This window comes from Homo sapiens, chromosome 13, assembly GCF_000001405.40.
Source record: "Homo sapiens chromosome 13, GRCh38.p14 Primary Assembly".
NCBI lineage: Eukaryota > Metazoa > Chordata > Mammalia > Primates > Hominidae > Homo > Homo sapiens.
This window is the reverse complement of record NC_000013.11, coordinates 100,152,107-100,176,446: the sequence shown is the minus strand read 5'-3', so window position 1 is coordinate 100,176,446 and position 24,340 is coordinate 100,152,107. Positions and strand designations below refer to the sequence as shown.

The window sequence follows — 24,340 nt, the reverse complement described above, 5'->3', positions numbered from 1 at the left end:
TTTTATACACATGTAAATAATTAAACTTAAAATGTATAAAGAATTATAACATTTTCTTCTAAAAACAGCTAGGCCTGAGTTTTCTAAAGCTACACCATCTATGCATGAAGTAACTTGTAATCAAATCCCAAGTTCCAAAAATGCTTCATTTTAATATATGAAGTTTTTCTACAAAAAGAAAATTTCTGGATTTTCCCAAACACCACAATTTCAGAGTCCTGTCTCTATCCCCAACAACACTGACCACAGCCTCCACAGTTATTCTTTACTGATCTATGCAAGCTTTCAAAAGCCAGAACAAGCTGGTACCTACCAATCAGGCAAAGATGGAAAAAATGAGTCCCAGAAGGAATCATCACAAAGATTCCAATCACAATCATCTGATCCCTAAGAACCGAGGCCTATCAAGCCCTTTGCTTCTGAAAACTCATTGCATAACGATCAGACTTGGCTTCATAGTTAGAAGGGGTACAGGAACCAGGTAGATCCTGTAGTATTCACATCTTACGTCTAACACAGAGTATTTTCACTTTAACGAAGTCTGCCATGAAAAAAGAATTTGGAGAAGATGAAATGGAAAAGCAGTCACAAAAAGAGGATTTAAGGGGAGAAGCTACCTGCGACAACTTTTGTAGGCCTCATCTTTGCATTTTCATCCTGCTTTATGCATTGCTAATCAGAGATCCACTGGAAGCTTCAGAACCAACTGAAAGGCCTGGCAGGGTATTTGGCTTTCAATTCTTCTACTCTGTTTATTCCCAATATATATTCATCAGGCTTAGAAACAACTCTTGAACAAGGGCAGCCTCTCCACAATGAAATGTAAATTACTGACATGTGCTGAAACCTGGACTTGCCACCACTAATGAGCACATTAAAGGAAAATGCTCACTAGATGACTGCAACCTTTTCACTTAACCCTGTGTGCACGGAAAGCCACAATTCAACATCAATTAAAGATGCTAGCTGCAAAACAGAGCAGCCTGTCACCACTCTCACTACCTTATAGATGGAAAGTTAAGACAAATATAAATTGCTTACATTTCATCAACTAAAAATAGTGTGCAAAACATTAGTAGACATGTGGCTAAGATTTGCAAAACTTCTCTAAAAGTTGCAATACTTTCAAACAGTTTCCTAAGAGAGCAAATAGGATCTAAGGTTTGGGGGAAAAAAAAATCAACAATGTACTAATCTATTGGTTTATTCATTAATTCGATCAACAAACTCTAGACTCAGAGATCTAAAACTCACCAGGGACTTGACAAGACTGAACAAAGCTCAGAAGCTTGTCAAGAAAAAAATAAATCATAATAACCAATTACTTAGATATCAAAATAACAAAATATCTGACTTACATAAGCAAGGACTCATTTACTAGGGCACAGAATATTAGAAGATTATAGTCTGTTCATCATAATCTAATCTGCAACTTACAGTGGAAAAATGAAGTGTGAACAGACATCTAGTATTTATTAACTTTTTAAGTAAATTATTTTTATAATTAAAATACATTTTAAAACTTTAATGAGAATTTCAAATATGGTAAATGAATAAAGATATAATTAATATGTTATTGTGTGACAATAGTTTTTCCAAAGAATACTCATAAAGAAGAGTAATACTCATAATACAAGCACATTTGAATATGATTTTATCTCTGTGGTTACCTAAATGCATGCTAAATTCTCTTTCTTTTTTTTTCTTTTTTTTTTTTTTGAGATGGGGTCTTGCTTTGTTGCCCAGGCTGGAGTGCAATGGTGCAATCTTGGCTCACTGCAACCTCCACCTTCCAGGTCCAAGCAATTCTCCTGCCTCAGCCTCCTGAGTAGCTAAGACTACAGGCATGCGCCACCATGCCTGGCTAATTTTTGTGTTTTTAGTAGGGACGGGGTTTCGCCATGTTGGCCAGGCTGATCTTGAACTCCTGACCTCAAGTGATCTGCCTGATTTGGCCTCCCCAAAGTGCTGGGATTACAGGCGTGAGCCACCCCAGCCCTCCAGCATACTAGATTCTTAAAGCCCATAAAAGAGTACCACAACAAATATTATACTATAAAACATTTAAAACCTGGTTATTTTCTCTATGTGGTTTCTGGCTACATTTAAGTTTTCCATACAATGGTTCACAGTGAAACTCGAGCTTTTTAGAACCCTCAGGGCTTCGTAAAAAAGAATTTCAATCAAAATAACCTGAGTTCTAGTCCCAGCTTGCTGATCTCCTACTGGCATGTGATTAGAAAAAGCATTTTATTTCTCTAAATATTATTATTTCTACATCTATAAATTAGAAATAATGACACCATAAGGCACATATACAGGTTTTTTTAAGCACATGTGAAACCGCTTTTCATATAGTATCTGACAATCCTCCAAACAAGGGAATCATTATGTATTAGTCCATTTTCATACTGCTATGAAGAAATACCCACAACTGGGTAATTTATAAAGAAAAAGGTTTAATTGACTTACAGCTCCACATGGCTGGGGAGGCCCCACAATCATGGTGGCAAGTGAAGGCGGAGTAAAGGCATGTCTTACATGGCAGCAGGCAAGAGAGCTTGTGCAGGGGAACTGCCATTTATAAAACCATCAGATTTCATGAAACTGATTCACTATCACAAGAACAACACAGGAGAAACCTGCCCCCCATGATTCAATTACCTTCCACCAGGTTCCTCCCACAACACGTGGGGATTAGAGGAGCTACAATTCAAGATGAGATTTGGGTGGGGACACAGCCAAACCATATCACATTTAAGTTTACTAGAAACCTGAAGTCCTCATCCTTCTCCATTCAGACACCCATTAACACCTACCAGCCTATGCAGCAGGAGTTCAGGAGCTTGACTCTATTTTGCTTTGCAGAAATGTACACTTATCCAGGTAATTTCCTGAGAGGATAAATACACTTGTCTACCTTTCTCTAGGATATGTATTTCTCCATTACCAAGTTGCTTTCTGGCACCTGAGAGCTGTTTTATCTTCTATCTCTTATTATTTACTTGATATCGATCAATGTCTGCAGCTCGTCATCCCTGGTTGCTGTTTTGAATCTCTACCAAATGCCGTTATTCCTGTCCCCTACATCCTAGTAACTAAAACCATCCCAGCCAGAGCATGTAAAAAGCGAGTCCTCCAACAAGTGAAGACTTGGTTGCTGACATGGCTGCCCGTACCAACTCAACCAGAACCAGCACACTGTAGACACCACTACAGATCACCACTGCTGCTTCCACTATTCTCTTTCTTCCTCCCTGTGCTTTGCACCTTATCTCTCCTGCCTGTTTTTCCCACTGCTAGCTTTTGGGAGGAAAGCAGAACTTTTACAGACAGCTCTTTATATAGTCCCTTTGGGACCCTGAAATATTCTGCAAGCTAGATACCAAAAGGCTGAATAAATAATAGTCATATGGGGAAAAAATAAGGATGGGTAAAAAAAAAAGAGCTGAAAACATTTTAAGGTTTTGTGTTGTGCCACAACAAGCTGTATAATCTCTTCTTCAGAGGTAGCATAGTCCGGTAGTTATGAGCATGGTAATGACGGGGTTCAAATCCTTGCCCTGGCACTAACAGCTGTGTGATCCTGAGCAACTTCTGCTTCTTCGCCTGAAAAGCAGAAATAATAGTACCTGTCTATAGGGCTGCTAGGAAGAGCAAATGAGTTAGTACATGCAGAGGGGTGGGAATAGTGCCTGGCACACACTAAGTGTTCAAAAAAAGTTATTAATTTGTTAAAAGTTGAAATCTCACGCATTCATAACATGGCCACAATCAACTTTGTTTGCTTGTACTCTTATTTTATCTAAACTCATTAATTCCTGATTGTCTTTCTCTACTACTCCATTTAAAACTTCTATTGCTTTTAAATGGTATGATCAAGGATGATGACGGCAGGAATGATAATAAAACTACATAGTCTTTACGTATGGGCCCAAATTAAAGCTACAAAGCATAAAAATTACAGAAACAAATTTATCATTAACAAATATGTCTAAAAGACAAAGCCCTATTAACATTAGAAGTCATTTTTAAAAATCAATTTATGATCTTTCATGTAAAAGGAATTTAATAGGAAATAACAGATCCTAAAAAATATTTGTTTTTAAAAAAAACTAAATAAAAATATATGTCAAATTAGTTTGATGTGAATACCAAAGACATTAAACTTCCTTCAAAAGTTTGTCTCATGTGTAGAAATGTATATAAATAATTCCACTGAAAGGTAAATTTTTTTTTTTTTTTTGAGACAGGGTTTTGCTCTGTCACCCAGGCTGGAGTGTAGTGGTGCAATCTCAGCTCACTGCAGCCTCCATCTCCTGGGCTCAAGCAATCCTCCCACCTCAGCTTCCCAAGCAGCTGGGACCAGAGGCGCATGCCAACACACCCAGCTAATATTTTTTTTTTTTTTTTTTGAGACAGAGTCTCACTCTGTCACCCAAGCTGGAATGCAGTGGCGAGAACTCCGCTCACTGCAAGCTCTGCCTCCTGTGTTCACGCCATTCTCCTGCCTCAGCCTCCCGAGTAGCTGGGACTACAGGTGCCTGCCACCACGCCCGGCTAATTTTTTGTACTTGTAGTAGAGACAGGGTTTCACCGTGTTAGCCAGGATGGTCTCCATCTCCTGACCTCGTGATCTGTCCACCTTGGCTTCCCAAAGTGCTGAGATTACAGGCGTGAGCCACCGCGCCCAGCCACACCCAGCTAATTTTTAAATTATTTGTAGAGATGGGGTTTTCCTATGTGCCCAGGCTGGTCTTGAACTCCTGGACTCAAGTGATCCTCTGGCTTCAGCCTCCCGAACTGCTAGGATTACAGGCGTAGGCCACTGCGTCTGGCCGTAAAGAATTATTAATGACTAGTAAGTAAAGTGGTAAGCAACAGGAATTCAGAAATGAATGAGTAAAAGTCCTTGACTTGACATGGAAGTAATTATACTAAGGCTAAAAAAGAATGTGGAAGTGGAGTGGGGCATAGTAGTCAGAGGAGGCATGCTCATTCTGTCTAGAATCTCAGCTTAAAGGCCACACTCTCAGAGAAGACTGTCATCACCCTATCTCAAGAGGCTACCCAGTCACCTTTCAGGACAGTGCCTATCAAATTTTCTGGGCTTTACAGTTTTAAATATTGACAATCTCAAGGAGCTTTGGCTTATACATGTTGTATATATCAATATTTACCATGTTAAAATTAAGAAATTTTTAAAAATGTATTTCAAAAGAATAGCCCATTTAATGTTAACAATTAGAAGTAACATTTTTATGACAAATTCATTAGAGTAGAAATGTTTTACATTTTCACAAATCTCTTTAACATGTGGCTTAAGACAGCTGGATTCTCAAATCTGGTTCCTGCATTCAATCTGCTGTGATAACATATATCATATAACTCTACTGTTACATGGAAAACTCTACTGCACAATCCTCAGAGAATGAGAGCAGGAAAAACTATTATGGAAAATTGTTTACTTCAGAGTGTCTGAAAGGGTCTCAAGAGTCCCCAGGTACCACAGAACATACTGGGAACCAATGCTCTATTGTATCACCCACTCTTATTTTATGGCTACTGTACGCTATGCTGACAAAATATGCTGTTACTTGTGTATAGATTATGTAAATATGTAACTAATTTACATCCAATATATTTTCTATCAATTGTGGCATTCTAATCAGTAAGAGCATATATTACTATAAATGCTGTTATCAAAATATTTCCTTATAAATCAAATATTGTGGTTAAGAAATACAACACATTATTTTTATCTGCACTCAACAATCAACTAGCACATAAAGGACTGAATAAAAAGCTAGGAACATGTACACATGCACACACGTAGTGGTACAGACAGGCGCTACACCATAGGTAGGTTGGGAAGTGGAAACATACAGAAAAGAATACTCTGTGCTTGGAACATTAGCATATCACATATTATGAGTCAAAATGGTAACTTAGGAACATTGTAATATCCTTAAATAAGGACCAGTACAGAAACAAAGCCCCAGTGATCATTTCATTATTTCTGCTTCTTTGCCTGTTTTAGAAAGCATGCATTTAAAAGTTTAAGTTTAGAACAAATCTGGGGGCAACAAGAATCATTAACTACATGTAACAGAGATAACTAGCATTACTTCAGTTAACCCAAAAAAATCCTCGAGCAATGTACTTCCTTCACTAGAACAAAAACAAAAATCTTTCCAACTGAATTCTAAGCTTAGGAGTCACATACAAATAAATCAATGAAAATAAATTTTAAGACATCACGAAGTTACCGTAAGTTTAAAATAGCATAACACAATGAAAGCACAAGGATGCTTCTCAAAGCATCCCTTCTACATTTATTTCCAGAATTCTAAATTTGAATTCAGCAACTTATCTAATCTAGCAAAGAGTTAATAAGCACCTCCAGAAAGCCTGAGTGATACAGAAGAATCAAAAAGCATGAGTTCAGGCTGGGTGTGGTGGCTCATGCCTATAATCCCAGCACTTCCGGAGGCTGAGGTGGGAGGATCACCTGAGGTCAGCAGTTTGAGACCAGCCTGGTCAACAAGGTGAAACTCCGTCTCTACTAAAAATACAAAAATTAGCCAGGCAAGGTGGTAGGCATCTGTAATCCCAGCTACTCAGGAGGCTGAGGCAGGAGAATTGCTTGAACCTGGGAGGCGGAGTCTGTAGCGAACTGAGATCGCACCATTGCACTCCAGCTGGGCAACAAGAGCGAAACTCCATCTCAAAAAAAAAAAAAAATACAGAAATTAGCCAGGCATGGTGGCGCTCACCTGTAGTTCCAGCTACTCAGGAGCCTGAGGCAGGAGAATCACTTGAACCTGGGAGACGGAGATTGCAGTGAGCCAAGATCGTGCCACTGCACCCTAGCCTGGGCAACAGAGCAAGACTCCGTCTCAAAAAATAATAATAAAATAAAAAATAAAAAGCATGAGTTCAGCCTTCTACTTGCATACAAAAGTGACTAATCCTTACATAAATCAAGGGATTTTTTTTTTTTTTTTTGAGACAGTCTCGCTCTGTCGCCCAGGCTGGAGTGTAGTGGCACGATCTCAGCTCACTGCAACCTCTGCCTCCTGGGTTCCAGCGATTCTCCTACCTCAGCTTCCTGAGTAGCTGGGATTACAGGCACCCGCCACCAACCTGGCTAATTTTTGTATTATTAGTAGAGACGGGGTTTCACCATGTTGGCCAGGTTGGTCTCAAACTGCTGACCTCAGGTGATCCGCCCACCTCGGCCTCCGAAAGTGCTGGGATTACAAGCGTGAGCCACTGCGCCTGGCCAAATTAAGGGAAATTTTTAAAACAATTTACTTTATGGTTGAAACATGCCTTTTTTGCCATGTAATCCATAGAGGGTTTTGTTTCTAAATTACTTCAGAAAGCTTAACACAAGAATCAGAAGCTATATTCTATTTTAAGATTCAATAGAATGTCAGTCTGTAAAACACTGGTCTTTCAACCCGGTAGTTTTGGCCAAAATTAAAATAACAAAACAAAAATCCCAACAACAATAAAAACCCTCAGTTTACAATGGCTTAAAATAATTTTAAAAAGGCTTATTTCACACAATGAAAAGAAACCTTTTCTTGAAAGGTCCCCTCACTTGCCAGGAATCAAACTGGACCATGAGCCTCCCATAAACTGGTCATTGGTAAGGAAGAGAATGAATCCTGGTCAGGATTTCACTAGTCAGAATTTACCACTGAGACTCACAGGGAAGGGATGGTCACCTAAGGTGACGCTAACAACCGGGCAGAAAGGGTGGACAGCAGCATCAACAGCATCTGCTACGTTGTCACATTTCAAAAGGGGTTCAAGAGTCACCTAGGTAGAACTTGAATATTTTCCCCCAATACTAGCATAAGTAACAGCTAATAATTCTCTTTGGTTCTTTTAGCCTCAGCTGGAGTGCTTGGAATCTGACCCATGCATACATGGAACACTCCAGAATTCATTCCAGGAACTGTTCAAAAAAGGCCAAAAAAGGAAACTGCCCCCATGCCATTTCCTCCTTCCAAGGGTAGTCGCCTTCCTATTTCTGTCTAATTGTGGCTGCTCTCTGGTACCCATAGGTATTATGTAGCTTTTTCTATTTTGTCCAGAATTTATAATTGGGATGTGTGGAGAGGCTGGTTTGATATATAAATATTCTTGGTTACAGCCTAATTTATCTTAGACCCAGTAAAACGCTATCTGACATCTTGTATACTGTTAATGACTGGAGCAATCTTAAACCTCATCCTTCTATGGGAATGAGCCTCTCTTACTCACGATGGTTATGTGTGGAACTGAAGAATGAACACTAGAATCTCTCAGGTTGAGATTCAACTGCTGAATAAGGTGGCATATGTGTTCAACTGGATTGTTAAAGTAAGGAAGTTCTGAGAGAGAAAAGAGGGGGTCAGTGGTGAGGAAGGAGGTCACACCAAGACGGCCTCAGCAGGATTAGTAATACATGGGAGTAAATGAAAGGGGGTGTGGACAAAGTATTTTTAAGAGTTCATTATCTAGCCAGTTGTGGTGGTGGGCGCCTATAATCCCAGCTACTCAGGAGGCTGAGGCAGGAGAATGGCATGAACCCGGGAGGCAGAGCTTGCAGAGAGCCGAGATCGCACATGTATGTCCCATTACTTTTTCTGCAAGGGTGCCAAGGCAATTCAAAGAGGAAGGGATAACCTCTTCAAGAGATTGTATAGCAAACTGAATAGCCACATGCAAAAAAGATTAATTTAGACCCTACTTCACACCACATATAAAAATTAACTCAAAATTGATCAGAGATCTAAAACTATAAAACATTAAAAATACAAAACAAAAAACAAGAAAGTCTCAGTGACCTTGAGTTTGGCAAGAAATTACATATATCTATTTTTTTAAATAATTCATTATTTTGAGACACATTCTTCTTTTGTCACCCAGGCTGGACTGCAGTAACACTCCACAGCTCACTGCAGCCTCAAACTCCAAGGCTCAAGTGATCCTCCCACCTCAGCCTCCCAAGCAGCTAGGACTACAGCTGCATGCCACCAAGCCCATCTAATTTTTGTTACTTTTTGTAGAGATGGGGTTTCACCATGTTGCCCAGGCTAGTCTGGAACTCTTGGACTCAAGAGATCCACCTACCTCAGTCTCCCAAAGTGCTAGAATTACAGGTGTGAGCCACTGCACCTGGCCCATATTTTTAAGACTCAAAAGGTTCAAACTATAAAAGAAAAAAAAATTAATAACCTGGACTTCAACAAGACTAAAAGCTGTTGCTCTTCAAAAGATACTGCTGAGTAAATGAAAACAGAACCACATCATGGGAGAAAATATTTGCAATGACATGTACCAGACAAAAGATTTTTCCTAGAATAAAGAACCCTAATATGTCTAAATAAGACAAGCAACTCAATTTAAAAATGGACAAAAGACTTCACAAACACATCGACAAAGATATAAAGCAAATGAGCTCAACATTATTAATCATCAGACAAATGCAAATCAAAACCACAATAAGACATCACTACATAGTATAACAGTTAAATTTAAAGGGTGGTAAGAATGTGGAGCAACTAGTACACTCATACATTGTTGGCGGAAATGTAAAATTGTACCAACGAGTTTGCAGATTCTAAGAAGATAAAACATACAAATGATCTAGCCATTCCACTCCTAGGCATTTACCAAAAAAAAATGAAAGCATATGCCCACATAACTACTTGTTCATAGCACCTCTAGTTGTAGTTAAAAGCTGGAAACAACTCACATGTCCACCAACAGATGAATGGCTACTAAAAATATGGTGGTAAACCCATACAATGGAATAAAAAGAAATGAATGCAGCAATAAAAAGGAATGCAGGCTAGGCACGGTGGCTCACACCTGTAATCCCAGCACTTTGGGAGGCTGAGGCAGGCAGCTCACTTGAGGCCAGGAGTTCGAAACCAGCCTGGCCAACATGACAAAATCCCGTCTCTACTAAAAATACAAAAATTAGCTGGGCATGGTGGTGCACACCTGTAATCCCAGCTACTTGGGAAGCTGAGGCACAAGAATTACTTGAGCCCAGGAGGCGGAAGTTGTGCCACTGCACTCTAGCCTGGGCAAAAGAGGGGAAACTCTGTCTCCAAAACAAAACAAAACAAAACAGGGAATGAAGTACTGACACAATTACATGCATCAATTTCAAAATAATTTTGCTGGGTGAAAAAAAAATCCAAAAAACAGCATAACTTGTGTTATTCCACCTATATAAAATTCTAGTAAATGCAAAATAATCTATGATAAGAAAACAGATCAGTAGTTGCCTAAAGGGGAAGAGGAAGGCTAGGAAGTGGCCGAAAGAGCCAGCGAAGGAGCACCAGGAAGTCTTTGGAGTTGAAGGATACATTCTTTATTCTGATTGTGATTATGATTTCATAAGTGTACACATATAAGTGTACAATTAATTTCTTATATATGTGCACTTTATTGAATAGCAATTATATTTCAATAAGGCTTTCTTGGAAAAGCTGTAAATGAATAATGAACTCTGGTTTATTTTTTTATTGTACTTATTTACTTATTTATTTTTTTGAGACAGGGTCTTGCTCTGTCACCCAGGCTGGATTCATAGCTCGCTACACCCTCAAACTTCTGGCCTCAAGTGATCCTCCTATCTCGGCCTCCCAAAGTGATGGGATTATAGGTGTAAGATACCACACCTGGCCTGAACTCTGCTTTAAAAACTGCATGCTGAAGTGTACAGGAGAGTGAATTGTACTATTATCTACAACTTAAGTTGACGTGCAAAATGAAAATGAGATTGATAGATGAGTAGAGGAAAACACAAATGAATAAATATGTTAAAAACAAATAAGAAAATGTTAATTATAGAATCTACTGGCATTTGTAGTAGTACAATTCTTCAAACTTTTCTGTATTTCTTAAATTTTTCATTAAAGAAAATGTGAGGGGAAAAAATATTAATACTCCCACAAGTCTGTGCAATAGGTCTCTGGCAGTAACACTAGACTAACAAGCATAAACATATTGGTTAGGAAGATACTGTCAAATTAAACCTCTTAAACTTATGTAAAGCGGACATTACAAATATCCAATGAGTCAACTAATTACCCAGAGCTTGCATTAAGGAAAGGCATGATTTGGTGGTTATTAAAAACAATAAAACAATGGGAATGAGAAATGGTACAGCCACTATGGAAAACAGTAGGGCAGAACCTCAAAAAGTTAAACATAGAATTACCATAGGACCCAGCAATTCCTCTCCTAGCTATATACTAAAAAGAAGCAAAAGCAGGGACCCAAACAGATACTTATACACCAGTGTTCATAGCAGCATTATTCACAACAGCCAAAAGGTACAAACAGCCCAAATGTCCATCAACAGGTGATGAAGAAACAAAATATGGTATATCCACAGAGTAGACTATTATTCAGTCTTAAAGAGGAAGGAACTTGGATGAACCTTGAAAATATTATGCTGAGTGAAATAAGCCAGACATAAAAGAACAAATCTTATATGATTCCACTTATGTGAGGTACCTAGAATAGGTAAACTCACAGAGACAGAAAGTAAAAGGAAGGTTACCAGGGGCTAGGAGTAGGTGGGAAATGGGGAATTAGTGTTTAATATGTACAGTTTCAGTTTGGGGTGATTATAAAGTTCTGGAGCTGATGATTGCAAAACATTGTGAATAAAATTAAAGCCACTGAGCCACACTCTTAAAATTGGTGAAAGGGTAAATTTTATGTTATGTCTGCTTTACCACAATAAAAATACATATGTAATTTTAAAAGACAACATTTTTTAAATGGACCAAAATAAAATGAGTCTTAATTTCAACTGAATGATATTTGGATCTGTGAAAGTTGATTACATGAATTGGGTCATTCTTGTATACCCAACTACATAAGAGTCAAGGAGTCAGGGGAAAAAAGCACTCAGGGCACATAGCACAGGCTCCAAGAACTGAACTATCCAGAGGCCCAGTTGCTGAAACAGCCTGCTGTAACCCTAAGACCAGCTTTACCTAGTAACTGCTGAAACAACCTGCTATCACTCTAAGACTAGTTTTTAAACTACCACTGCCACTCTCCTATCCGAGCCTGCCAGCTCCCAAAGCTTTTCAAGTACCAATGAACTTTCTTTCAAAATAATCAGTAACATTTTTTTTCTATCTAATAAAACCTTCAACCTTCTCTTTGTTCCTTGGATATACTGAAGACCCCATGTGTATGTCTCAAATTCCAATTCTGTGATTCTCAAATAAAATATTTAATCTAGAGATTTGTCTCTATATTTTAAATTTGACAGATCAATTTAAAGAAATGTCCTAACTCACCTCAACATGTTTATAACAAAATTATAACATTTTCACATAGAATTTATAATACATGCAGATGAAATACATATGACAACTATAACATAGAGGATAGTGATGGGAAGAGAAGGAGGATGGACTATATGATCGCAAAATTTCTACATTTTACTTGAAATGGTATCATATTAGCTCTAACTAGAATATGAAATGTTAGGATGGATATTGCAATCCTAGAAAAAACACTGAAAAATAGATAGATCCAATAGATAAATTTTAATGGAATTTCAAAAATTACTAAAATAATCCAAGTCAGAAAAGGAAAACAGAAGGAAAAAAAGGGGAGACTGAGAGAAAACAAATAATAAAATGCTAGACATAAATCCAACCACCTTGATCATTTATTAAATGTTAATGGATTTTACTGACATTGCATAGCAGTGATGGTTACATAACTCTGTGACTATACTACAAATCACTCAATTGTATACTTTTAAAGGGTGAGCCTGATGACACATGAATTAAATCTCAATAAAGCTGCTATTTAAGAAAATACACTAAGGCAAACTAAAGAAGAAAAAACTTCATAGTCTAAACACTACAATTTAAAAATAGAGACCATCAGAATTATTTCAAAAGCATGACACAACTACATCCTGGCTACAAGAAACACACAGTATTTTCAACATAAAATCACAGATGGAGAAATACATATCATGCAAATAGTAAGAATAAAACACAATCTTCAGAGGCCGACATTAAACAACCTGTCCAAGATCACACAGCTACTAAGTGGCAGAGAAAGAATTTAGCTGTCATTCTGACTCCAGAATGAGCTAATAGATACATAGGGCAGTAAGGAGAGAGCGTAATAGGAAAACTAGAACGTAACACTTCAATCTGTTTTAACCTCAAGCAAAGGGAAAAAAATCCCAGCCTCATCAAATCCCAGACTTTTCCTATTGAAACCACTCCCCAAAATCCCACAAGCCCTAAAAGTATCTGACCTATCTACATCCTTAAAAGACTCCCTAACTGTAAAGGGAGAGTTTTCCTTTTTCAGGCATTCACTTTAGAGCATTTAGTATTCCACATCGCATTCAAAATCTTCAAATATTCTAAAAGCTGACCTTAAGCCAACATATAGGAAAGGAAACGTTCTCAAACATTTCAAAAGATATTCTGTCATAATAAGGGTTTTATGAAGTTGCATTCATTAGTTCTTATCAATTCTTTTGAACATCACATATGTACAAGTCACAACTAGAAAAATATTATAAAATTATTATGAAAAGGAAAAAGGAGTCACAGAACTTTCTCCTCCAAATCCAGGGAGACTTTATTAGTTCCACTTAAGAATATCAACGAGTGGTTAAAGGCATCAATATCTCTATGCTGTAGCTCTGGCACTCAGTTAACTGAGCAAAGCTCACTCAGTTACCTTACTTAGTAAGTTAGCAAATCCAAGTGAGGATTTGCCTTCACTGGCATCCAAGTTACAAGATGAGAAAAACAAAAGAAACAACTCTACTTTTTAGATCTCTATGATGATACACCAATGGGGAAGAGGGGAAGGAAGCAGAAAGAGAGAAGCCTCCACCAACAGCAAGAACAGATGCCAGCTAAAGCTATCGATCAAAAACAAATACCACTAACGGCCCAGCCCAGTTCCAATGCATCTGAGAGTCAGTCTGGAACATATACTAAACAACGGATCCATACTCTCTCATTTACCAGCTATGTGACACTGGACAAGGCATTTATTTAAACTTTCAGAGATTGTTCTCTCTTCCATAAAACCAAGAATAAAAATAAGAATACATCATAAGTTGTCATAAAGATTAAATAACTTACCTGCAGGTAGGTATTCCATACTTATTTTTAAAAGCCTAGGGACCACTGTTTTCTTATATAAGAAAAGTTCTATGCCACTTCTTTTCATATAAAAAAAGTAAGTCCTACTTAAGCAACTAAGAGTATCTTACAAAACAAATGATAGCAAAATTCTAGCACACGCAGACAGACAGACACACACACACACACACACACACACACACATACAGACACACATGCTCCAGAAGGTAACAGTGGTGACCTCTAAAGACTTAAATTGGGGTCTTGTTTCGAAGGTTCAAAGATGGAAAGAAATCCTAATTTTCAATGTTTTCATGTGCTTAAATTTCTTAGCATTTTACATTCTCAAAAATTAAAAATTTTAAGATACTAAAATCAAAGGTCTGTGTCCAAAATGGAAAATATAATAATGTTAATAAGAAAATTTATGTCATTAAAATGATGTCTACACAAAATACACTACAGTAACAATTCTCAACCCTTCTTAAGCTGCGATATATAAAAATAATGTATTTCCATGAGCTATGCAGATTATAGCCCATATAGTGAAAATAAGAGTTATAAACAACCCTGGGCTTGCAAGGTCTAAGTCTCTCCTATTTTTTCCTACTCAAATAAAAAAAAAGTCCAAATATGAATGAGTAGAGTATCATATGGATCATTTTTAATCCACTTTATTTTATAAACAAAAAAATTGTTAAACAAAGTCACTGGCAAACTTGCTAACTTCAGAATTTTAGTATTAGTTACAAAGTGCTTACAACACACTTTAAACTATAACACATCATGGACTGCAGCCTTGTAACTGAGGACCAATGACCCTGCAGGGAAGCCACCATTCTCCACATTTTACTTTTGAACACTTTCTAAATTTTGCTATTATGAAACACCTTACCATGAACATTTTCTCAAGTATATCTTTGTAAGTGAGATTCTTAAGGGTGGAACTGTTAAATTAAAGAACATATAGATGTTTTAAATTTTGATAAATACTAGCAAATTTCTGGGGGCCGGGGGAGGTCTGAAACAATTTACACTTCCAGGAACAAAACTATGTGACCCTTGCCCACACTGGATGCCACAGCTATTTAAAAGGTTTTTGGTTAACCCAGTGGCTATTTTAAAAATTACCTCTCATTTTACAGTAGTTACATGTCTTATCTTGCTAAAAACTCAAGAAAGAAAGAAGATAAAAGAGCACAATCGCCAAACCTCACACGCTCAGCACAGTTCCCTCCTATGCTTTCAACGCTGAGCATCCTGATGGAACTCACTATCCATCTACATATACGTGTATCTTTCAAGTACACAGATAGGATCCAAACACAAAACACAAATTCTAACATATGTTTCTCTTGAAACTAATTACTATAACTTATGCTATGTTACCTGAAATGACAAGGTATGATAATATGATTAAAACAACATAGAAAAACCAGAAAGAAAACACAGAATACTAAGAAATATCTTCAAGCCAACATCCCATTTTTCCAGAGAAGGTAGTTTCACGTTTCAAAGCTCTTTGTAAACTCTGTTAAGATGTCTTTGCCTCATCCTAACAATCCTCATAGTCTCCCATGGATGGTCCTTTAATGCTCATAATAAAAGAAGCCTGCAGGGAAAATACAGAATAGAAAACAGCTTGGAAATAAAATCTGTTAGCTCAGCACATTAAAATTATTGAAAATTGCTATTTTTATGAGGATTATGTGTAGCTTTGTTTTTTCTATGAACTATCTAAGCAATAACAAAAAGACATGATCTTTTTTTTTTTTTCTTTTTTAGACAGAGTCTCGCTCTGTTGCCTAGGCTGGAGTGCAGTAGCGTGATCTCAGCTCACTGCAACCTCCACCTCCCGGGCTCAAACGATTCTCCTGCCTCAGCCACCCACGTAGCTGGGATCAAAGGCTCGTGCCACCATACCTGGCCAATTTTTATGTTTTTAGTAGAGATGGGGTTTCGCCATGTTGTCCAAGCTGGTCTCGAATTCCTGACCTCAAGTGATCTGCCCACCTCAGCCTCCCAAAGTGCAGGGATTACAGGCATGAGCCACCGCGCCCGGCCCACATGATCTTTTTCAAGTCATGGACAGCAGGGACTGTATAAAATCCAATCCCACTTCGCGTAAACTCAGCATAAAAAATTATCAGTCTTGTAAAGTTTGGTGTGTTTTTACATTGGGGGAATTTGGCCTATTGTACACTTTCTAAAGCAAATACACAGCAGTTATGCAAAAAAAATCAAAAAATCATTTTAGTCCTGGATATTAAGTAAAAACAATGTATCAGATAAAGCACAAATCATTTTTCCAAAAACAAAAACATTCCAATCAAACTGAAACAAAAAGTCCAAGGAAAGAAATTACTTCTCAACAGAAGGATCTAGAACCCTTTCCCCGCAGAGGCTGCATATGAACTGTGCCTTCAAGGGCAGGCAGCAGTTAGACACGGTGGGTGGGAGGCCAGGCACACCCACCCAGAGAGAGTGAGGAAAGCACTGAGGGCAGAGCCAGCCACGCATGGGAGCAGCGCACAGTCAGGCTGGGTGGAGGCACAGCACTGATAAAAGGGAAATGGGGAAATAGGTTTGGAAAGAAAACTCGTGTGAAAGAAAGGAGGAGGTTGTATATTCTACAGGTTTTTCTCTAATGTAGAACCCCAGATGGAAATCATCCTTCTTACTTTCATTTACAAAGATATTGATCTTATCTCACAGTATTTTCTTCCCTGAAGTGAAGTTATTTGTGTATCAACTTATTTTCCGTAACATGACTATGAGCACCCAGGACTCATAGCACCCATGGACTGCAGCATTCTGCGCGGGAACCAGATTGGATTCATTTTTATTAATATATCCTTCTCAAAGGCCTTAAACAGACTTTAAAGAAGCATTTTTTGGCCAGACACAGTGGCTCACGCCTGTAATCCCAGCACTTTGGGAAGCTGAGGTGGGCGGATCACGACATCAGGAGTTCAAGACCAGCCTGACTAAAATGGTGAAACCCCGTCTCTACTAAAAATACAAAAATTAGCCAGGCGTGGTGGTGTGTGCCTGTAATCCCAGCTACTCAGGAGGCTGAGGCAGAATAGCTTGAACCCAGGAGACAGAGGTTGCAGTGAGCCGAGATCATGCCACTACATTCCAGCCTGGGTGACAGAGCAAGGCTATGTCTCAAAAAAAAAAAAAAAAAAAAAAAAAAAGGCAGCATTTTTTTAATAACTGAAAAAATGCATAAACTGTATATAATATTATATATAATATATAAAATAAATAAATGTATTAACTGTATAGGAATAAATGTATAATACTGGCACCACATCACTTATCCTACTCATATAATTTGGATTTGGATATTCATTTATAGCAGGAGTTCCCAAACTTTTTGTATAAAGGACCATAGAAAAAGTATTTTAGGCTTGATAGGCCAAATGGTCTCTGTCACAACTACTCAACTCTGCTGTCACAGGACAAAAGCAGCATAGACAATGCATAAATGAAAGAGCATGGCTGTGTTTCAATAAAATTTTATTGACAAAAACAGGCAGCAGGCTGCATTTGTCCTGTGGACTGTAGTGTGCCGACCTCTCATCTATACGGACTTAAATGTAATACATTACATTATATATATACACACATACACATCTAAATTTAAGTATTATATTCAAATAGTTTTTATAATAACAGAATCTTGGTCAAAATTCCAAGGAAGATAAAAAATAAAAAGGGATATAAACAAAAAAATGTAGATATGCTGCATAAAACCTGGGAAACTGGAACCTCTGGATGTGTCCATGTAATTTGCCCCCTCAGGATATCTCTTTAGGCCTTAGTTTTGGACCCACAAAGCAAGGTGGTTCAAATAGACAATTCTGTGATCTTAATAATTGTTTCAAGTTAAAGTTATAGATTTTAAGTGGAAATTCCATCTAGAAAATAACAACATTCACAAATAATTTCCAATCCGTGGAAGAACAGAATACGAGTACAGTTATGCTCCACAGAATATTTCAATGAGGCACCACACGTATGACAGTGGTTCCATAGATTCTAATACTGTATTTTTAACTGTATCTTCCCTGTTTACATGTTTAGATACACAAATATCTACCACTGTATTACAACAGCCTACAGGATCCAGTACAGCAACACGTATAGGTTTGTAGCCTAGGAGCAATAGGCTATAACACACTTAGCCTAAGTGTGTGGGAGACTCTACCATGTAGATTTCTGTAAGTAGACTCTGTGATGTTCACACAAGGATGAACTCGCCTAATGATGCATTTCTCAGAATGTATTCACGCTGTTAAGCAACACATGACTGTATGCCACAGAAACAAGTATAACATATTAGAATAAATTAAGATAGTACCTGGCATAATTGATCTAATAACAAACATATGTACAAACATTAATCAAAATCATATTCTAGTACCTAAAAAATAAGGTTTCAGTACCATCTTGAATGAAGTTATAAATATACCTGGAAAAATCAATTTAATAACAAACATACGTTAATTCACCTAGCTGGAAGGGGACATTTAGATCATTAAAAACAACTTCACCCAAAATAGAGGCATTGGTAAGATTTGATATTAAATGCCACAAAATAATTAAATCACTACAATAACTCACTAAACTCCCTAACATATTTACAGTTAAAAATCTGAAGTTTTTAACTTTAATTCAAATATCATGCAGTATATAATAAACCAGGTATCATTCATTCAGTGTAATGGTGATTTTGTAAACTTTTCTGTTTTTATAATTACTCTTCAAATAAACAGTTGAGTTTCAGACTAAAACCACTTCACTTGTCACAATTTTCAAAGAACTGCTGGGTTAATTAAAATTCTATAATCCATCACTACCCACATTTACAAAGCCATGCTACCACACTGCTTTCTGAAAAAGAAATGAACAGTTTCTGGTTCATTACCAACTTACCAAACATCTGGCAAATTCTTTGTTTTCTGAAAGGAATCCATAACCTGGATGTACCTTAGAAATGAAAGCAAAAAGCACTTTCAATTTTATCATATTGCAAAAGCTTTATAAGCAAAATGTACAGTGCATTTATGTATTAATATTTACTGTTCAAGAGCCCTTGAATAAGTACACTTCTCTTATACACTGATCAGTTCTAACTCACATTTCTAGGATCAGAATCAAATTCCAAGAAACTGCCTCTTATATTTACTTTCTCCACACTCCCTTTGTCCTAACTGATTCATTTTCCACACACTACCTTTGTCCTAACCACAATGGGGAGTATATGCCCACATAGCTTCCTGCCCACTGGCATTTGTCTACACTATTCAACAAAACTCTCTCTCCTTTTCCTGAGGCTAACTTTGCCCACAATTCTGGAGAATTTCACAATGGCTGGTGCATCAAAGAATTATGTAAAAGGAACCTTGGCAAAGATGGATGAAAAACTCTAAATTCTCCTTTCTTTACAGTACTCACGAACTGGTAATTTCCAAAACCCAGACTACTAGGACAGCTAACACATTTTATTCCTGATGGCATTAATAATACTCGGCAACTACCAACAAGCCGTTTCTATCAAACTGAACTAAAATGGAGGTGTGGTTTTACTTTTATTTTGTGCTCTGAATTTTTTTTCTTCTAATGTCTACTCTTCTTTCCTTCCTCACCCCAAACTTTGCCATCCACAACTACTTTATACTATCCTCACCCACAAGCCACATTGCTACAATCTACCAGCCTGATCCAATCAAGTAATTTTTGGCTCTCCCAGACTGGCCAAACATAAATTTCGCCACTTCAGTATCAGCCAGTGTTGAACATACTTCTAGTAAAATAATTCTGCTAAAAAGAGAGTCAAATTTCTAAAGGAACCAGTATCATAATCCAGAAATAGCTACGTATCAGCGACTTTTAAATGCTGAACTCGGGCTGGGCACAGTGGCTCCTGCCTGTAATCCCAGCAGTTTAGAAGGCTGAGGCAGGCAGATCACCTGAGGTCAGGAGTTCAAGACCAGCCTGACCAACATGGTGAAACCCCTTCTCTACTAAAAATACAAAATTAGCTGGGCATGGTGGCAGGCACCTGTAATCCCAGCTACTTGGGAGGCTGAGGCAAGAGAATCGCTTGAACCTGGCGGGACAGAGGTTGCAGTGAGCCAAGATCACGCCATCGCACTCTGGCCTGGGCAACAAGAGCGAAACTCCATCTCAAAAAACAAAACAAAAAAAAAGCTGAACTAAGCTTTATGAGCATGGTACAGAAGAATTTAAACTACTGTATCAGAGAAGAAGAGTTTTCATTCCACCAACTTCATTTTATCAACACTCAACTACATATTTATTTTGGCAAGCTATAGTTAAAAGGTTAAAGTGTTTTACCTTCACTAACTGTGCTAATAAACTGTAAACATCTATAATATGGGTTCACGAATTAGGCTTTTTATTTAAACATTCATCTTACTAAAACATTTCTTTCAAAAGAAATGTGAGCGCTAATTGAAGCGCTCCAGGCTTAATTGCTGGTGTTGGATGTTTCCATCCAGTTTTAGAGATAACTTTGCATAGTTTTTAACACTATATATAATTAGTTCTGATAATTAAAAAAAGAAAAAAGAAAATAGAAGAAAAAACACTGTTTCTGATATCAGAAATCATTTTTTTCCTTGGATTCCACTCTATTCAAACAGAACTGGGGGTGGAGAGAATGATTTATCCTTGTAAATTATGAGCATTCTACTGACATTAACAAACTAAAATAATTACCAAATGTGCTGTTTTTATTTCTGGAAGTGTACTAGGTATAAGTAATTTTTAAATTATTAAAATGGAATTTGAACACAGTCTTTGGATCCTGTTTATAACACAGAATTTTTTAAAATGCTCTTATTACACGGAAAGGGTTAATACTCAAAACTAATTGGGATTTCTTTTTTCCTAGCAAATTTGGAAATGAACTGAAACTGCTCCCTGGTGTGAAAGCTGAATCCAGCAGCCACCTGCAGGATCAGCAACCAACACTGCCAGATGCTACAAAGCCTTTGATTTCCAGTAGCGAATTCGACCACATTTAACTCATGTGACATGAACTAACTGCAACAGCATTTTCAATCATTCTTTCCTATTTTTTTTTTTAAATACAAACTCTAGCTTTCTGCTCACTACATATGAAACAGCTGCAGTAGATAGATTCATTCAGACTCACAGCTTGGGCCCTGGTTTTCTTAATGGCTTCCATGATGGCATCCATGTTGAGGTAGCTTTTACTGGTGGGAGCTGGGCCAACACAGACAGCCTCATCCGCCATTTTCACATGAACCTGAGGAGACAAATTTCTGCATTAACAGATGCGCCCAGCAAAAAGAATTACCATCATCTGCAAATACACACAAAATTGCAAATCTGATTGTTCTGCCTATCATTTATAGAGTCGTATTTCTTTTTGAGTATGCACTAAAAAGCAACAATGCAACAAATAAACTCAGGAACTCTATTAACCATGATTTCATTTATTACAGCCTAATTCATTGTCTAACCAAATAATTTCCATAATATCCCCTATCTCTTTATGTAAAATCACAGCAAACAATTTTAGCTTCCTATTCCGTTCATCAATACATAAATTTGATATCAAAAACTACCTTGTTACATGTAGCCAGGGTAGCCCAATATTTTAATAAAGAGCACTCATGCCCAGTTCTAAGCAAGCTCCCCAGGAAGTTGGGATAATTAGAGGGACTGAATGGAGGGATGCAGTGAGTGTCCCTGCACAGCATCAGGTCAGCACCAGGCACAAATTAAAGCCTAAGACGAAAGAAAGAGTTCAATATCACAACACATGAACCAGAAAATCTTGAGAATCATTTAAATACTCTCACATTCAATCTTCATCCATTTTACATTTATTCCTAAAAGAAATGATATGTGTATTAAGTTCTAAAGCTACTCAAAATTCAGGAATGTATGCTCCATTTTTAAGACTACTCACTCTATAATGTTTAAATCTATTTATTTTGCATAATAGAAGCTAAGCATTCAATATGAAAAAGAGTAAACTGCTTAGTTCTAAAAGGAGTCTATTCTTTTTAACTGATGAAAGGATTACTATCTTTTTAAATGACTTTTCCTAATTTCCTAATGGCTTTCCAGTTTCAGAAACTTCCAGATTACAATTATTTTGCAAGGCAGATATAAAAACTGGAACACAAACATATACCTAAACATTTATGACCCACCTTCTACCAAAAAAAAAAGTCAAAGGTGGCAAATACCTGAGTATTTCTGTTAGAGTCTTCAGTTATGAAATAATTTTTAAATACTTTGTTTTAAATGAGATCTTAAAAAACTAAAAAAGTAGTCTTTTAGAAAGCTAAGAATTCTCTTTGTCAATTCAATAAATATTTTCCACTTTAGTAAAAAATTATATTGAGTATTGAAAGGTAAAAGATCAGGTAAATGCCCAAGGGATTTTCAGGTCAATATCTTACTATAAAATATCCAAATATATACATTCGGTAATTATTTAATAATACCAATTGTAGGGAAAAGCAGCCCTGCTTGCAAAGGGCTTCTAAATATCCCTGTGTTCAAAGCAAGGCCTTCCTCGTGGTTATCGTTGCCTGGTATGCCCCCAACCTCAAGTTGCTCTTCTGCCCTCAGACCAGGATGCCCCCTCCTCTATTGCCCTATTGCCCTCTGTCCACTTCAGATCCTGTTACTGTCAATTTTGTTGTTGTAATTGTGATTGTAGTTTTCTTCTGTAAGAAAGAAATTGAGTACTTCACAATCCTTTAAAAAGAATACATTTAAGTCTTTGTTTAAACTTAAATCCACACTTGTTTTATTGTCCTCAGATACCACCTATTATAGAAGATGGACTCCAAGTTTCACATCTACCACTGGATCTTTCCCAAGTACTTCAATTTAGGATGAATCTCCTCTAATCTAAACTCTGAGAGTAGTTAGTGCAGATTTTAGCATATAATCTCATCTACCCAACAATCTCATTTTAACTGCTTTGCACAGTTACAATTTCTCCTCCACCAGATCATAAGGTTACGCCTTAAATTCTTTTTTTAATCTCCCCTAGCCCAATGTTATGTGATTAAAGCTATTTACTCATAGATACACTTGGATAGCAGCTTGCTTAATAACTTTCATTATCAAATGTTAAAAGCCATTGTCTTTGAGGTACAAAAAGTTGCAACTTTTATTATTTTTTTTTCATTATGTTTAAGGTAAAAATCTACACCTACATAAAGTCTTCTTAATCTTGGCAATACATATGGCAATTGGTGGTTTATCAAGGAAAAGAAATTAAAAGATACACATAGGCACATGTGTTTATGTGTCCAAAATTTCTATAATGAACATGCATTCAAAAGTAAAAAGGAGAGAGAGAATCCTAATAGTATTGACATTTTTAGTCTTTTCTCTAAATACACTTTCGTAATGATACCGCATATATAATTTTCACCCTTTTGTTTTTTAACTAGCATAATAGACATTTTTCCTATGTTATCACAAACGTTTTATAAACATACCAAGAACTAGGCCGGGCGCGGTGGCTCATGCCTGTAATCCCAGCACTTTGGGAGGCTGAGGTGGGCGGATCACGAGGTCAGGAGACCGAGACCATCCTGGCTAACATGGTGAAACCCCGTTTCTACTAAAAACACAAAAAATTAGCCAGGCGTGGTGGCGGACGCCTGTAGTCCCAGCTACTCGGGAGGCTGAGGCAGGAGAATGGCGTGAACCCGGGAGGCGGAGCTTGCAGTGAGCCGAGATTGCGCCACTGCACTCCAGCCTGGGCAACAGAGTGAGACTCTGTCTCAAAAAAATAAATAAATAAATAAAATAAACCTATCAAGAACTAGCTCAGAGCCTAATATATTTTACTGGGTGATTAAGATTGTTCCAGTTTAAAAAAAAAAAAAAAAGAGTGCTCCAATAAACAATTGAATAAATCATGCATTAAAAGCAGGTCAAAACTGCTATGGACTTTACAAAGAAGGACTAAACACAAATTGTTTATAAAGGATTGGTTGGCTTCTTTTCCTCCATTTGCAGGAACAAATCTTACTTCAGGGGGCAGGGTACATTCACATCTCAACAAGCCCACAGTCTAGCCCAGGGTCACTAGTAGCAAAAGGCCATGCAAAAGAAAACATTTGAATTCTCTACTGCCTTAG

The 24,340-nt window shown here is 37.4% G+C and overlaps 1 protein-coding gene across 34 annotated transcripts in view, besides 2 other annotated features; it reads right to left on the bottom strand.

The window, feature by feature from the left end:
• The window catches only part of PCCA (propionyl-CoA carboxylase subunit alpha), a 441,343-nt gene that overhangs the window by 353,989 nt on the left and 63,014 nt on the right, over window positions 1–24,340 (bottom strand). For 33 of the 34 annotated variants that reach the window (NR_148030.2, NR_148027.2, NR_148028.2 and 30 more), the window contains 2 exons: window positions 21,355–21,468; window positions 19,107–19,160 (listed from right to left, as the gene is read on the bottom strand). Coding sequence is in view for 25 of the 34 variants with exons in the window: in XM_017020609.2 (XP_016876098.1) it covers window positions 19,107–19,160; window positions 21,355–21,468 (168 nt within the window). In the remaining 9 variants the exon portion in view is untranslated. Of the gene's footprint in view, window positions 1–19,106; window positions 19,161–21,354; window positions 21,469–21,790; window positions 21,954–24,340 lie in introns of all 34 variants that reach the window. The other variant, XM_047430370.1, reaches the window with a different exon arrangement.
• Window positions 16,183–16,682: an enhancer, noted in NCBI's record as "H3K4me1 hESC enhancer chr13:100812019-100812518 (GRCh37/hg19 assembly coordinates)". NCBI's record gives its function as "activates a minimal SCP1, AML or CMV promoter by ChIP-STARR-seq in primed H9 embryonic stem cells {active_cell/tissue: H9 hESC(primed)}" and the evidence as "EXISTENCE:reporter gene assay evidence [ECO:0000049][PMID:30033119]".
• Window positions 16,683–17,184: an enhancer, noted in NCBI's record as "H3K4me1 hESC enhancer chr13:100811517-100812018 (GRCh37/hg19 assembly coordinates)". NCBI's record gives its function as "activates a minimal SCP1, AML or CMV promoter by ChIP-STARR-seq in primed H9 embryonic stem cells {active_cell/tissue: H9 hESC(primed)}" and the evidence as "EXISTENCE:reporter gene assay evidence [ECO:0000049][PMID:30033119]".